Genomic DNA, 15467 nt, shown 5'->3' on the forward strand with positions numbered 1-15467 from the left:
TATAATCCCAGCACTTTGGGAGGCCGAAGTGGGTGGATTGCCTGAGCTCAGGAGTTGGAGACCAGCCAGGGCAATATGGTGAGAGGGCATAGTCGTGCGCGCCTTGGTAGTCCCAACTACTGTGGTGGACTGGGGAGGGTGTGGGGGCGCTGAGGCATGAGAATCGCTTGGATGGAGGCAGAGGTTGCAGTGAGCCAAGATCACACGGCTGCACTCCATCCTGAAAGACAGAGCAAGGGATTCTATCTCAAAAAAAGAAAAAGAAAAAAAAGAAAAGAAAAGAAAAAGAAAATGCTAGTGCAGGGATTTTCCCAGAGCACCAGGATGGCTTCCAAGGCAGAAACAAAAGACATTAAGAAGTTGTTCCCATGGGAATGTGTGTGGCAGGCATGACATATCAGATCAACTTGGAATAGAAAATGCATATCCCAAAAGGCCCCTCAAAAGTGAGCAGAGTAAAAACATTCACAGAACTTTTAAATTATGTTTTTATTAACTATTGAGTAGAAACAATATTTATAGAATACATATAAGGTATAAAGAACAAAAGTATGAACATCTGTGAACCCCTTACACGGCTAAAGAATATTAACAATAAGCCTCTCCTCAGAGGTAAAACACCATATCAAAGTTTACATTGAACCTTGTGTTGCTATTCTTTATAGTGTTTTGCGGGGAGGGGGTTGGGGGGTTGTTCTGGTTGTTTTTAGCCCACTGCAGCCTTCACCTCCTGGGCTCCAGTGATCCTCTCACCTCAGCCTCCCAGTAGCTGGGACTACAGGCACACACCACCAAACCCAGCTAATTTTTAAATTTTATTTCATTTTATTTTATTTTTTGTAGAGCCAGGATCTTGCTATGTTGCCAAGGCTTGTCTCTAACCCCTGGGCTCAAGTGATTCTCCTGCCTTGGCCTCTGGAAGTGCTGAGATTACAGGTGTGAGCCACCATGCTGGCTTGCTGTTTGTTCATGCTGTAAATTCCCTTTGTTGATTTCCAAAAGTGTTTTTATACTTCTAAGTTGCTGAGAGTCCTTATTATGAATGGATGTTGAACTTTATCAAAAGCTTTTTCCTCTATTCAGATGATCATGTGATTTTTCTCTTTTGAACTCTTAATCTGTGGTGAATTACACTGATTAATTTTTTTTTCTTGGAGACAGGGTCTCAAACTGGCACCCAGGCTAGAGTGCGGTGATGCAGTCACAGCTCAGTGCAGACTCAAACTTCTGGCCTGAAGGATCTTTCCTCCTTCAGCCTCCAGAAAGTCTGGGATTACAGGAGTGAGCCACCTCACTGGGCCTGATGATTGATTTTTTAACGCCAAAATCAACGTTGAATTCCTGACTTGAACCACCTTGGTCGTGGTGTATTATCACTTTTACAAATTGTTGGATTTTGTTTGCTAAAATTTTGTTTAGAATTTTTCATGTAGATATTTGAGTGATAATTGAGTGACCTGCAATTTTCCTTTCATACTTTACCTATCAGACTTGTTATCAAGATTATGCCAGCCTCATGAAATTAGTTAGGAACTGTTTCCTCTTTCTAGGAAAGCATTTGAATAAGACTGAAATTCTCTAGGACTGAAATTCTCTCCTCCTTAAACTTGCTTGTTAGAACCTGCTGTGACAATGGTTACAGAATTTCTGCTTTGATCCACGAGTTAAACACTTTTTTAATTCCAAAAGATATGAACATTTTTCTAGTTACCGTTTTATTACTAGTTTATAATGTATTTGCATGTGGGGTCAAAGAATGTGATCAGTATCAGTTCTCTGAACTCTTTGAATAATTACTTTTTAATTAGAAAAAAATCTCAAATATTATGCGTTCAGAAGCAAAAACACCCCCCCTCCACACACACACACACACACACTTTATTAATTACAAAAAGCAAATTGTAACTGCACAGTAGGGAAACCTGGCAGACGCCACTTTATCCAAATGATCAGAGTTAACATCATCAGGAATGGAACTAATCACTATCAAGTGCCTTCTAATACCGTGAACTGAGAACCGTAACAGCCCTTCTATGGAATTCATGCCAAAAATGCATAACCTGAATCTAATCATGAGAACACATGAAATGACCCAAAATCAGATACTCTGCAAAATAATAGGCCAGTCCTCTTCAATAGTGTCAAAGATATGACAAAGACAGATTAACATCTCCAGATTAAATGAGACTTAAAAGAAAGGAAAGCTCAATACAATGCATGATCTTAGATCAAATCCTGGACCAGAACTTTTTCTCTTTTGAGAAAAAAACATAAAGACACTTGAGGCACAACTGATATAATTCAATAAAGTCTACAGATTAGATAATAGTATCAGGGTTAATTTACTGATTTTGATGATGGTACTATAAATGTCCTTTTAGGAAACACCCACTGAAGTATTTAGTGGTAAATGGGAACCCTGTCCGCTACTTACTTTTGAATCTCAGGAAGAAAAATGGTAGAAGGAGGCACAGGGACAAGGCGAGAGAAGGCCATCAGGATCATCTGTGGTCAAAGGACTCTGGGCACACTGACATTTAATAACTAATTTTAAACTTTTGATTGTTTTATTATTATTTTGTTAGACATGGGGTCTTATTCTGTTGCCCAGGCTAGGATTCAGTGACACGATTATCGCTAACTACAGCCTTGAACTCCTGGAATCAAGCGATCCTCTCGCCTCGGCCTCTGGAATAGCTAGGACTGCAGGAGCACACCACCACACCCAGATAATTTTTTGTTGTCTTCTCGAGGGGGGGGTCATGCTATGCTGCCCAGGCTGGCCTCATATGATCCTCCCACCTCAGCCTCCTGCTAATATATAATTTAAATATTTGTCTTTCACTATGCTCAAGGCTTTACTAAGTTTTGTTAAAAGTAGGGCCAGGTGTTGACTGTTAATTCGTGAAACAAAAGATGTGACCGCTTTCCATGCTTGAGATTCAGAGCAGAAGAAGTTTAGGAAAGTCATTATGTCAAGCCAACTAGAAACTAGCAGAGACCTTGGTACAGCACTCCATAGCAAGAAGTGGCAGGAGACTACAAGGACAGATCTGTGAGCATTCCTGGAATTCTCAGAAATCTTAAAGGAAATAAGCTAGGTTTAAAAAAATTTTAAAAAGGAGGGCACTAAGTGGGGTATATAGGAACTTTCTGTACTATGCTTGCAACTTTTCTATATGTCTGAACTAAAATAAAAGGCTAATTTAAATTTTCAAAACATTTTGTTTCATTTTACAATGGCTGGATAGATTTTCAGATCTTTAATGAAGCAGGTCCTATATGACTAGAGCCAAATTACAGAGATAGGCAGGTACCCATCAAAACCCAATTAAGCCTGACACAGTGGCTCATGCCTATAATCCCAGCAATGGGAGGCTAAGGCAAGAGGATCACTTGAGCCCAGGAGTTCAGGGCTCTAGTGAACTATGATCACACCACTACCCTCCAGCCTGGGAAACACAGTGAGACCTTTTCTCTTTAAAAAAAAAAAAAAAAAAAATTTACAGTTAATCTTGCTTAATCTTTTACTGGCTCATTTTTGGCTGTATCATGGAGTTGCTGGCCTCAGTCTTCTCCTTTTCCTCCATTTAATCATTTATTTTACAGAACCTTTTTTTTCAGTTTAATGAAACACAAACTCTCAATTTTTTATTTAAAACAGAAATGCAATAAATATATAAGCTAAACATTTCCTCATCATATGGAAAAAGAAGAAAGCATCAGTAATCCTCTTTGGGCTGAACAAAAATTCATAAATATTTATATATTTTAAAATATGATACTGTTTCAAATATTACTAGGGCAATAAATCATATAGAGAGATTCAACCAGTCAGAATTAGACTTTTAAAGAATTACTCTCAAAGGCTGAAATAACTCCAAAGACCAGGGAGTTTACTAAGAACATTTACAAAGATAGCTTTTTGGTGCTGAGCTGTATCTCATTTAATGCAGCCAGAAAGAAAGAAGAAATATTTTTCTCCTTATTTTGCTGATCTGTCAGATTTTGCTCAAGTTAGAAGAGCCTACAATTTCAAGGCTAGACAACTGGAATTCCATGAGTTAACACAAATAGGAGAAAGACTGGCAGAAAAGTTCAAAACTTACAATATGGAGGGAAATCAGCCAAATAGGATTACTTATAAATGGAATATTGGGCATGTGGTTTCTTAATTTTCATTAGTTATGCAAATATTTTATTGTTAGTATTTAGATTAGTGTTTTAGAATGTTTTGTAGAGACTGAAAAGCAAATAAGTAATTGCATTAGCATTGTTAAGTATCAGTGTTTTTAGTTTGATGAATGATCATACAGCTGTGTTCTCAGGCTGCAATAACAAAACACTAGAGACTGGATGGCTGAACCAACAGAAATTTATTTCTCACAGTCTGGGGGCTGGAAGTCGAAGACATAGGTGCCAGCAGGGTGGGGGGGGGGGTTCATTGTGAGGCTTCTCCTCTTGGCTTGTAGGTGGCTGCCATCTCTCTGTGTGCTCCCATGCCCTCTTGTTTGTGTGCACAGGGAGGAAGGGAACAAGCTCTCTGGGGTCTCTCCCTATAAGGACACCAGTCTTAGCAGATCAGATTCTCCACTGTGACTTCGTGTAACCTTAATTACTTCCTTAGCAGCCCCAGCTCCACAGTGAAGGTTGGGGCTTCAACATGGGAATTTAGGGGTGAGGATGGGACACAAACATTCAGTCCATAACAATGGCCCACCAAACTATGAAAGCAAATAGAAAAAAAAATCACAGTTCAAGAATGACATAAAACTTAAGTAGTTATGCTATAGAGTAATGCATACAGCTACGCTGAGATGTTACAATGTAACAACATAAACTCACTGCATTTTTTTTCTTCTTCTTCTTTTTGAGACAGTCTCACTCTGTTGCCCAGGCTGGAGTACAGTGACATGATCTCAGCTCACTGCAACCTCTGCCTCCAGGATTCAAGTGATTCTCATGCTTCAGCCTCCCAAGTAGCTGGGATACAGGCATGCACCACCATGCCCTGCTAATTTTTGTATTTTTAGTAGAGATGGGGTTTCTCCATGTTGGCCAGGCTGGTCTTGAACTCCTGACCTCAGGTGATCCACCTGCCTCAGCCTCCCAAACAGCTGGGATTACAGGTGTGAGCCACCGTGCCTGGCCAACGCTCATTGATTTTTAAAGAAAATCTTTCCCAAGTTTGTTCACCGTACATCTGATACACACTTTCAGAACCAGATTTGGGTTTCTAATATTAACTTCTACTGAAAGCCAGCATTTTCTCTTGGCCTATAATTTCTCTGTAAAGGTACCATTAATGTTCACTATTACAATTAAGCCTTGGTCTGGGTTATTCTGATAACAAACTCTGGAGATCACAATTTTAAGGATTAAATAATCATAACAATATTGTTTGTTCTGCCGAAATGATTAATCTGACAGTGACTGAATTATCTTGGGACTCTCCCAAGCCCTAAATGAATACAGCAAAGATAAATTCAGGAAACAACTGCTTCTCCTATGGCCTGTAAGCTCCTAACAGACCATGCTTCTGCAGAAAACAATTCTGGACAAATTTTTTAAAGCAACAAACTACACGAAGTCACATAAAAGAACTCGAGAACTCCAGCCTTGGAAGAAAGGCCACAGGCTGAGTTTCTTATTTTTATGGCTTTTACCCAGAGAGCAAGACACAGGTCTGCATTGTGCAGCACAGCTAAAGTTCCTTTAGAAAACCACCATCTTTCTGGCTGCAAGAGTCAGGGGTCAGAATGGGGGGCAGCCACCACTGCTGAAAAGAGTTGGGGGAGGAACCCCTGAAAGGAGAGCCAGAAATGGGGGAGCTCCAAACTCTTTGTGTCAGCTCTGTCCAAATCTCTAACTGACTTGTGAACTAAAAAGAAAGGTTTCTACCATCAGCAGACTGTCACCCATAGACATTTACACAGTATTTTGGTTTGGAGTTCTTCCTAATAGTCACTTCACAGAAAAATATATAGGTGCTGTTTTGCCCTGGAAGCCAGACAGATCAGAATATTGGGTAAGATAGCTGGGTCAGCTGTCCTTGGATGGATCCCAAACACTATGCTCCTTTCCAGGCCTGAGAATCGCCGGACACTGTCCAACACAATGTGCACACCCAACATATCACATGCATCACTGAGCTGCACCACCATTTTCTTCCTCATTGCTTTCAAGAGCTTAGACTGATACTGCTCCACTTCTGTCACGGTGCTGACAAGCACAGCAACATCCTTTGGAGAATAGCCCCTTTCAAAGAAGCACCTGCAGGTGTCTGCCACATAGGTCACTATTTGCTCCAAAGTAAAGTTTTTAATAATCTTTGTGTTGCCTGGAACACCTGGAACCCATTTAGCTTCACTGAGAATTGCCAGATACCCATGGGGGATATTAATTGGAGGATTTTCTATAATTAGTTGCATTTCTTGTTGTATGTACTCGGCTATTTCATCTGCATTGCGAACTACTCTGGTGAGCTCTTCTCTTGGATACTGTGCTGAGAGAGGGGGAAGGCCACTGTGACCCAAGTGACTGGTCTGAAAGTAGTCCAGAAAGATCCAGAGAACTCCTGGACAATCCTTTTCTCTCTGAGTGATGGTTTTTGCCTTCCTATACCAGTCCCCATCTTCAGTACGGAAATTCTGAGCTTCGTCAATGACGATGTGTTGAATGTGTTCAAATTTTTCTCTTAGGAAAGTTTCCCGGGTCTCTGCTCGGCAGATATTTCTATCACTGTAAAAATTAAAAGAATACACTCAGGTTTTCTCTAAGAAAACAAGGGGAGAAAATGATTGTATCATGTTCCTCCGAGCACAGTATATTGCCACAGATCATTTTACCACTCAATTCTCAAGGAAGAAGGTGACTTAGCAGAAAAAATTAAACCCAGATTAAATAAAACTTAAAGACGTAAGATCCAACTGCTTACCTGATAAAGTTCCTCAGAGGCTGGTTTTCACAAACGTAGAGAATTCTGTGTGCCTCACAGTGAAACACATTCCTGATCTTCTCCATGATCTTCATGGCCATGATGGTCTTCCCTGAGCCAGGTAAGCCGTGGACAAACAACTCTCTGTTCTTGCGGAGGCTTCTGGAGAATATCTCATACTGCTGGGCTGTGAGCAGATTTAAAACCTCACAGCCGAGCTGGTCACTCAAGAGAGACCTGAAGCCGAGTAAGACAATCACGAGGGACTGCAGCAGGGCTTCCATGTGCTGGGTGCCTGCAAGGCTATAGGACGCAGGGTAATCCATCGGAGACACTGCAGCCTCCAAGGCCTCTGCGCTGCTCTCAGGACTCAGGCAGAGGACCTTGGCCCTGACACACACCTTCCCGGTGTAGCCCCCCATGTTCACTAGCTTCTGCTTCAAAGTAAAGGCGGTGCGAGTGCAGTAGTCCTGGCCCTCTGCATCCTGCTCCCTGAGAATGGTGTAGAGAATGGGGGTGCTGTTCTGTGCTATCAGCAGAGCATCACAGATGACTCCTGGCTTCTCCTGCAAGTTCAGGTCCACAGCCCAGCTTCTAGAGAGGATCACAATTCCCTGGGAGAAAGGTCGCATTTGCTTGTGTATTAACTCCTTTAGTCCTTCATGCTGTAAAGACAGCTCCTTCCAGAGGGACTCTGGAGTACATTCCAAATGTCCTGGTGGAACTAGACAGGAAGAAAATAGAAAGATGTTTTCACTGTGTTTATGTGATTTTGTATGAATCACATGTTACATTTAAAAGACAGAGGAAAGCCCCCAAAGAATTGTACAATTTAACAGAAATTCCTTCTGGTGCATCTCTGGTTTTTTGTTTGTTTGTTTGTCTGTCTGTCTGTTTTTGAGACGGAGTCTCGCTCTGTCGCCCAGGCTGGAGTGCAGTGGCCCGATCTTGGCTCACTGCAAGCTCTGCCTCCCAGGTTCAGGCCATTCTCCTGCCTCAGCCTCCCAAGTAGCTGGGACTACAGGCTCCTGCCACCACGCCCGGCTATTTTTTTGTATTTTTAGTAGAGACAGGGTTTCCCCATGTTGGCCAGGATGGTCTCGATCTCCTGACCTCATGATCTGCCCGCCTCGGCCTCCCAAAGTGCTGGGATTACAGGCATGAGCCACCACGCCTTGCCTGGTGCATATCTCTTTAACCCACAACCTACAAATCTGGTAAAATGAATGATGTCACCCTTCTATGTATCTCATGGACAGTGGAGCATGTCAACTGAAATGCAATTTACTGAGCCTGAGAAAGTGAAAGCCATGTATTCAATTACTCTTGCACCTTGGATTCTTAATGTGGAATGTTTAAAAACTTTTCTGATAAGCTAATGACTATAAAGCTCTCAGGTAAGTAAAGAAACTATTTGGTGGTAAACAGACCTAAGGAAGGCCTAATATATGAATTACCTTGCCCTTCATAAATGTTTGGACATACGTAGGATATTTGTGTATCATATTCTTTTGTCAAATCTCATACTTAATATGTTCAATGTATGAAGTTAAGCCATTTCCCTCCTTGAAAAATCTAGGTTTCATTTTGTAAGTAGGAACTCCGAGAAAAAAACCTTGCTAAAAAATGTTTGGGCAGCAGGGAGAGGGGTTACATAACATTGTCTATGGGCTTGAATTATTATTTGGTGCCACCTTTGAAGCATTAGCGAGTCGTTCCCTCTAGCCTCTTCCAAAGAGAAATTATTTGTGGTTTTTCTATATTCTTATATTCTACCAGGTGAATGTTTTTATTCCTTTTACAGACATAATTCCTCCATCCTTGAAAAGTAGACCAGAAGTGGCTAGTTATTCCATTGTTCCCCTTGTAGTTGTACTAGATCACTGGTTTCCAAACCCAGCAGGGCATCAGAATAATTTGGGAAGCTTGCCCAAATGCATATGGCTAGGCCTTTCCCCTGGAAATTAAGCGTTCATAAGTTCTTGGTGTGGGCCTGGAGATCTGCATGTTTAACTACCTTCCATGGCATTTCTAATAATCAGCCAGATGTGGCAACCAATGGGCCAGATGATTTCTAAAGGCACCTGAAACTCATCCCCAAGAGGCTTGTGGCATTGTCACTGTGTACACCTGGATCTGCAGGACACAATCTTTCATGGATTTGTTTTCCACGAAATGTATTAAATGACTTCCTTCTCTCCTGATGTAAAAACTGGCAGTCAGTACCTGGAAATAAATGTTGTTGTAGATCAGCTTTGTGTTCCAGACCTTTCTTAGAATACACTGGTCTGCAAAGTGAAGGACTGTCAGATAGACTCAACTGAGACTCAAAGGCCTCAGCAAAGTCTGGAGGAAACTCTGAAAGAAAGAACATTTTAATTTACACTATATGATTTCATGTCTCGCTATTGGAATAGGCTGTACAAGGCTGTGTCTAAATTTCATCTAACATGGTACAAGTCAGGCCACAAAGTCAGATGCTTTACCCTTTCTTGACTCTATGTCCAGGTTCCCAAAGATTCATCATTAAAAGCCCTTTTTCTGATCCTTGAATGGTGTTTCCCCATGCAATATAATGCCCCCTCTTCCATGTTTGAATAGTTCTTTGCTTGAATTGCAGTGGAAAAAAACTCTCTTTAAGTTATAATCATCAGGTTTTTATATCCCTGTGCACGCACCTCCACTAACCTCAACTTAAACAAACCTCAACCAACACTAGCTCTTGTCTCCCAGAGTTGATTTTATGCTAATCTGAGGTACAAGCTAATCACTATTATGAGGCTCCAACAGATTCCAATTCAATGGTTTTATTAAAGGAACCAATTTCCAAGGTTTTTCCTTTGCTTCTTCTTTTGTGGGAAATCACCATTCACAAAATATCTCATTTTGGCTTTTTCTCACCCAATAAAACTTCCCATCTATGAAAAGCATGGAGATTTAGAGAAAGTAAATTTCAGTGGGTGTGAGAAGGTCAAGCTTAGAGAATAAAGAAGGAAGTGGTATTGGGGAAGAGGTAGAAAGGTCAGGAAGGGAGAATCTGGTTCCCTCTTACCTGGATCTGCGTCCATCATTTTCTCTACCCATTCCTCAGTTGTCAAGGGGCGGATGTACTTCTCCCTCACCATCCATGACTTGGGAGCTTCCGAGAACACCACACAACAGAATGCCTTCACTTTAATCACACAGAGATAGCCATACAACTCTTTCCCACAAAACACTTCTACGATTTTGGTGCTGTACTCTACCCGAGGTTTTGAAGAGCAAAAATGAACAATGGGCAACTTAGAAATTGCTCTTGCAATTACATTTTTCAAAGAGTCAGGGTCAACCTGTTCTTTGGCACATCCCAGGACTTTCCTACTCTTATCATCCACTCCAATAAAAAGATAGCCTCCCTCAGTGTTTGCAAATGCAGAGATGTACTCTGGAATTATATTTTCTACATATTGTTGGATATGTTTTGTAGAGAACTGTTTAAACTCTATGGATGGAGACTCAGGAAAAGATAGGATTTCACCATATTCAATAGTGTCAGTTTGGAAAACTTCATATGCAGGATTTGACTCAGATATGTTCTGGTATACAGCTTTCATAATTTTACTAGGTGGAGACCCTTCATTAATCAGATTATATTTGGACTGTCTTTCCTTGGTCTTCAGGAAATCGAATGCCTGTCTTGAATTCATGTGAAGCACAGAGGTGCCAGATCTACAGTATAATGAAGAACTAAGGCTGCAAATGCGGGAATTGAAAGAACCATCTTTAAGGAAAGGATCACCACTCCAAGATTTAACAAAAATATAAAAACACCTTCCGTGTTGCTTAGTCTCAAAGAAAGCCTGCAAATATGGATACTGAATAAGCTTTCTCAAGGATTCTTCTAAATCCAGTCCCATCTCTGTGGGACGCTCATCCCTGTTGGCCATTTCCATCTGAATCACTCCTCCTCCTGAGTTTAATAAAGCACACGCGGCCCGTATAACTCTCGCCCTCTCTTGGTCTCTCTGAGTTTTCTGTAGCTTTTTTCTGTTTTCTTCTCCCAGAGTCACTTCTCCGACATCGATGACCAGGTCTGGGTAAGATGGATACACACCCAGGGAGCAGTGATTTGCCTCCATGTTGAACTTGCACCTTAAAGTATTAGAATATTTGTTTCATTTTTGATTAAAAAATTGTTACAGGCCTGCAATTCATTTATTAGAAAATATTTAAAACGTGTCTAATATGTGCTGGGATAAGACAATAGCAAGAAAGACAGGTATAGTCTCTTTAGGAGCTGACTGGCTGGCAGGGAAGGGAACTAATGAAATTAGCCTTTACCATCATCTGTGACATGGGCTCTAAGAGGGAAAACACATTGAATAGGGTATCTGAACGAATCTGGAGACCATGGTTCCATAAGACTTCCAGGAGTAGGTTCCATTTAGGCCAAGACTTAAAAGATGCACTAGAACTGGCCAGGTGAAATCATTAGCATTGAAACACAGAAGTAGTGGATCAGCTGAGGGGCATGTGTACCATGGCATGAGAACATCTAGGTTTGGAACAGATTCTCCATGAACATCAACTTTAGAAGATAAGTAAAAGAAGACCACATTGAAAAGGAGACTGTAGAAAAGTCTGAGTATGAAAAATCAAAGAAGTAAGAGAAAAATCAAGGGTATTTGGTATTAACAAAGCCTGGAACAAAGTCACCTGCCAAGGTTTTAAGATGTCTAATACTGCTGACAGATACAGCTAGGTAATGACTGGAAAGTGTTACTAAACCTAAGTTTAGTAAAATTAAGGTTAACTGTGACTTTGAAAAATGCTCTTCAGACACCTGGGAAATGGGCATCAGGAGGCAATAAACCAGGGGCTAAGGTCTTGGAGAACAGAGTCAATGAAGATGGCTTGAATTCCAGTTCTGCCATTTAGTACTGTTATATTAGTCTAGATATTTACTCTTTCTAACTCTATTTTCTTACTATAAAACATGGTGCAGCCACCTGTGACTGTTATTATGAAGATTAACTCAGATAGTTTACAACAAGCATTTAAAACTATGCTTTGGTTCACAGGTGTTCAGCAAAGGAACCTATATTAATTGACATTATTTTACAATGGGTTGAGGAATGAATGAGAGGTAAGGAAGTAGCATCATCAAGTGTACACCTGCTGTCTTCTTACACCAAAATCAGTCCTGAAGTACCTGTAGGCAGAAACATGTTTAGAGAGAGGCAGCAGAGTTCAGAGGTCAAGATTCAGAAATAAAGGCTGGGACATTCACAATCTTACCAGTTTGCCTAATTTAGACCCTTGCCTAGAAATTTCTACCGTCAGGATTCTGTCTTGCATTCCGAGACCACTGAAACATCTTTGTCAAGTTACCTGTAAAATATTCTTTTTGATATATGGGGACTTCAAAGTTAAATCTTTTCTCTTTACCCCCATGAACTTTATTGTTAAAGCCTAGATAAGCTGATAGTTTTTCATTGGTAACTGTATTCAAATGGCAACCCCACCCATATCTTTTGCAGGCAGAAAAGTCTTAGGGAGCTCTATCCCAGCTCTTCCTTTGGGTATAAAGGTATTATAGTCAGTGCTACTTGCAGATTCTTTGTAAGGTAGAGATATTGTTTCCTAAATAAAATTGAAACCCTAAATAAAACTGAACTATTCAATAACAAATTGAGAATTCAGGTGAAAAAAATCAGGAAGCTTACCAATATATTTAACAAAAGCAACTGATTCTGTTGTATTTACAGAATAACTTTGCTAGAATTCCTTTCTTAATGTAACCAGACTTCCCACCAGCACAGTGAATGCCCACCGCCTGCTGTCTTCTTCCACCAAAATCAGTCCTGAAAGACCTGTATGCAGAAACATGTAGAGAGAGGCAGTAGAGTTCAGGGGTCAAGATTCAGACTTCTTTGAACCCCCCCTACACATGCATGGGAATAATTAGAGATAATTCTTGCCCTTGCTTCTCTGTGGAAATTGATGGAAACAGTTTCGCCTCCTACACAGGTATACTGTAGGTAAAATCAGAACAACACAAATCCTCCCATCCACTCCCAAGCCCCCCACCCCACTGAGGAAAACTGGTGGGGACTGGCTAGTCTCAGGCAGAAACAGAAGGAAACAGCTGCGACAGAGGCTCCCTCTTGGGAAAATAAAACACAGAGCTCTTTGTCCTTCTCAGATAGCAGCTCTGTATTTTACAGACGTTGGGAGGGAGACATTTTTCTCATTTCTCCCCTTTCTAGATTGCAGGGTAATCAGGATAATGGGTACAGGGTAATGGCAATTCTAATTCTGTTTTGTTGTTTTGTTTTGTTTTGTTTTGTTTTTGTTTTGATACAATGTCTTCCTGTGTTGTCCAGGCTGGAGGGCAGTGGCGCCATCACAGGCTCAGGCGATTTTTGCCTCAGCCTCCGGAGAAGCTGGAACCACAGGTGCGCGCCACCAGGCCCGGTTAATTTATTAATATTAGTATTATATTATTATTATTATTATTATTCATAGCGATAGGGTCTCCCTACATTGCCCAGGCTGGTCTCGAAATCCTGGGCTCAAGTAATCCTCCCACTTGGCCTTTCAAAGTGCTGAAGCTACAGGCATGAGCCACCACACCCGGCCTAATTCTGCTTTTTAACTCTTAGATTAAGAACAATAATTTACAGTGGTTAGTGAGTCAATGCCAAGAACCCTGAAACAAGAGTCCCAACCTTCGCAACGGGGGAAGCCTCCAGGACGCACTTGGCTCTGCCTGTTTGTTCCGCCCCCGCGGAAACCGCTGCTCGCTGGGCAGGGGCTTTCTGTTTTGCAGCCGGAACAGGAACACAGATAGCCCGCCAAGCCGCCGGCGACACCTTCCAACCCCTTTAGCTCTCCGCACCGTCCCTCCCCACCGCCCCGCCTCCACCCGCGCCGCGATCAAGTCCTCATAGCCTTTTAGGGAATTTGCTCAGCAAACTAGCCGAACCCCAAAGGCAGGGGAGAAGCACGCAAATACCCCGACTCCACCGGCTGGCCGGAGCTGGGGGGCGGGGGTTGCTCTCCTAGCTTGCTCCCCATCCGAGTCAACGCCAGTCCAGGGTCGTGCCGGACTAGACCCTAGGGCGTGGGTACAAACGGGAGCTCCGCAGTCCCCGTAGGAGCAGGGACCCTCTCTTACCTCTCAAGCTCCAGCGCGTCAAGCTCCAGGACACTCCGCGTTTCCCTGGAGGCGCCAAGGTCAGGTTCTTATAACCAATGGTTGGCGCCTACCTGGGCAGGTCCCACACAGGGGATGAACGAACCAATGGGTCCCAGGCAGGGCATGGACGCGCCAATGGGAGTGTCTACAAAGCCCGGGAACACTTTGCCACGCTGTCTAGAAGGCCTGGCGGGAGGCTCGCGCCTATGAAATCCCAGCACTTTGGGAGGCCTAAGCGGGTTCATCGCTTGAGCCAAGAAGTTCGAGACCAGCCTGGACAGCACAGTGGGACCCCCGTCTGTACAACAACAACAACAACAACAACAACAACAAAATTACTCAGGCTTAGTGGCGCGCGCCTGTAGACTCAAATGTAGTCTCAGATGCCCGGGAGGCTGAGGCTGGAGGATCACTTGAGCCCGAGGAAGTCCAGGGTAAAGTGAGTCGAGATCGCACCACTGCACTCCAGCTTGGGCGACAGAGTGAGAGCCTGTTCCCCCTACAAAAAAAAAAAAAAATGTCTGGAAACGCCAAGTTTTCTGATTGCTTTCGAGTGGTTCTTAGTTCTTTCTTACTCCCCCTCCGCCCCTCCTCCGTCCCTATCTCTCTCTCCTTTCCCGGAGCCTGCGGTCCCGCCTTCCCCGGACCCCTCCTCTGAGGGTCCAGCCAAGCTCTCGCCCGAGCTTTCCCCTTCCACCGCACTGCAACTGCCCATACCCCAGCTTGGGCTTCTCTCCCCACTGCCTGCCCCAGAAAGTGGGCCTTGAGACCCGGGAACCCCAGGTCAAAATGCGACGGATGCTCGGATCGGGCGGCACTCGGTTCCTGGCTGGATTTGTGGCTCCGCAGACCCCGCGCCAGAGTGGGATGTGGCGGCGGCCGGTGCTCTGTGCTCAGTCAACGCCTTGGAGAGGAGGACTACGAAACCCATACACTCGGACAGAACCCTGGCAGGTGTTAAAGGCTGCGGCAGAGCAGAAAAGCAGAACCCTGGCTGGTTTTCTTGTAACACGAGCAGTGTGACGGTTACCGGGGTTGACCAAGCACCGCGCATCGGCCAAGTTCTCACTGACGCGGACTGGCCCAAGGGTGGGAGCGGCGGTTAACACCGGGGTGATTAATATACGCTCCAGTGGAGGCTAAAGTGAGAAAATAAAACGTACTCCAATACCACCCCCCCTTCGCCCCAGAGATTACCACTGACCACTATTAACACCCTATTGTACATATCTTTACGGATCATACATATATATTACACAAACATATATGTAATACTTTTTTATTAATACAAAGTCACACTGTATGTACTCTTCTTAATCTGCTTTTTTCAATGACTTCCACCTTTCCATT

At 42.9% G+C, this 15467-nt stretch overlaps 1 protein-coding gene across 13 annotated transcripts, besides 6 other annotated features; it reads right to left on the bottom strand.

Annotated features, from left to right (window-relative positions):
- SLFN13 (schlafen family member 13) lies at positions 471-15141 on the bottom strand. 13 transcript variants are annotated; one of them, XM_047435468.1, is made up of 7 exons: positions 14835-15141; positions 14457-14616; positions 12643-12789; positions 9990-10076; positions 9164-9295; positions 6938-7661; positions 471-6741 (listed from the first exon to the last, which is right to left on the bottom strand). In XM_047435468.1, the coding sequence occupies exons 4-7, from the start codon at positions 10060-10062 to the stop codon at positions 5970-5972; spliced, it is 1701 nt and encodes a 566-aa protein (XP_047291424.1). In that variant the 5' UTR covers positions 10063-10076; positions 12643-12789; positions 14457-14616; positions 14835-15141; the 3' UTR covers positions 471-5969. The 13 variants fall into 13 exon arrangements, with proteins under 13 accessions (XP_047291424.1, XP_047291416.1, XP_047291418.1 ...); XM_047435460.1 differs by having other exon boundaries at positions 9990-11068; XM_047435462.1 differs by having other exon boundaries at positions 9990-12128.
- Positions 13417-13576: an enhancer, noted in NCBI's record as "active region_12070". NCBI's record gives its function as "activates an Ori minimal core promoter by ATAC-STARR-seq in GM12878 lymphoblastoid cells {active_cell/tissue: GM12878}" and the evidence as "EXISTENCE:reporter gene assay evidence [ECO:0000049][PMID:35858748]".
- Positions 14147-14226: a silencer, noted in NCBI's record as "silent region_8437". NCBI's record gives its function as "represses an Ori minimal core promoter by ATAC-STARR-seq in GM12878 lymphoblastoid cells {active_cell/tissue: GM12878}" and the evidence as "EXISTENCE:reporter gene assay evidence [ECO:0000049][PMID:35858748]".
- Positions 14455-14956: an enhancer, noted in NCBI's record as "H3K4me1 hESC enhancer chr17:33776099-33776600 (GRCh37/hg19 assembly coordinates)". NCBI's record gives its function as "activates a minimal SCP1, AML or CMV promoter by ChIP-STARR-seq in naive H9 embryonic stem cells {active_cell/tissue: H9 hESC(naive)}" and the evidence as "EXISTENCE:reporter gene assay evidence [ECO:0000049][PMID:30033119]".
- Positions 14455-15456: a biological region, named in NCBI's record as "H3K4me1 hESC enhancers GRCh37_chr17:33776099-33776600 and GRCh37_chr17:33776601-33777100".
- Positions 14847-15056: an enhancer, noted in NCBI's record as "active region_12071". NCBI's record gives its function as "activates an Ori minimal core promoter by ATAC-STARR-seq in GM12878 lymphoblastoid cells {active_cell/tissue: GM12878}" and the evidence as "EXISTENCE:reporter gene assay evidence [ECO:0000049][PMID:35858748]".
- Positions 14957-15456: an enhancer, noted in NCBI's record as "H3K4me1 hESC enhancer chr17:33776601-33777100 (GRCh37/hg19 assembly coordinates)". NCBI's record gives its function as "activates a minimal SCP1, AML or CMV promoter by ChIP-STARR-seq in primed H9 embryonic stem cells {active_cell/tissue: H9 hESC(primed)}" and the evidence as "EXISTENCE:reporter gene assay evidence [ECO:0000049][PMID:30033119]".

Source organism: Homo sapiens, chromosome 17, assembly GCF_000001405.40.
Source record: "Homo sapiens chromosome 17, GRCh38.p14 Primary Assembly".
In the NCBI taxonomy this organism is placed as follows: domain Eukaryota; kingdom Metazoa; phylum Chordata; class Mammalia; order Primates; family Hominidae; genus Homo; species Homo sapiens.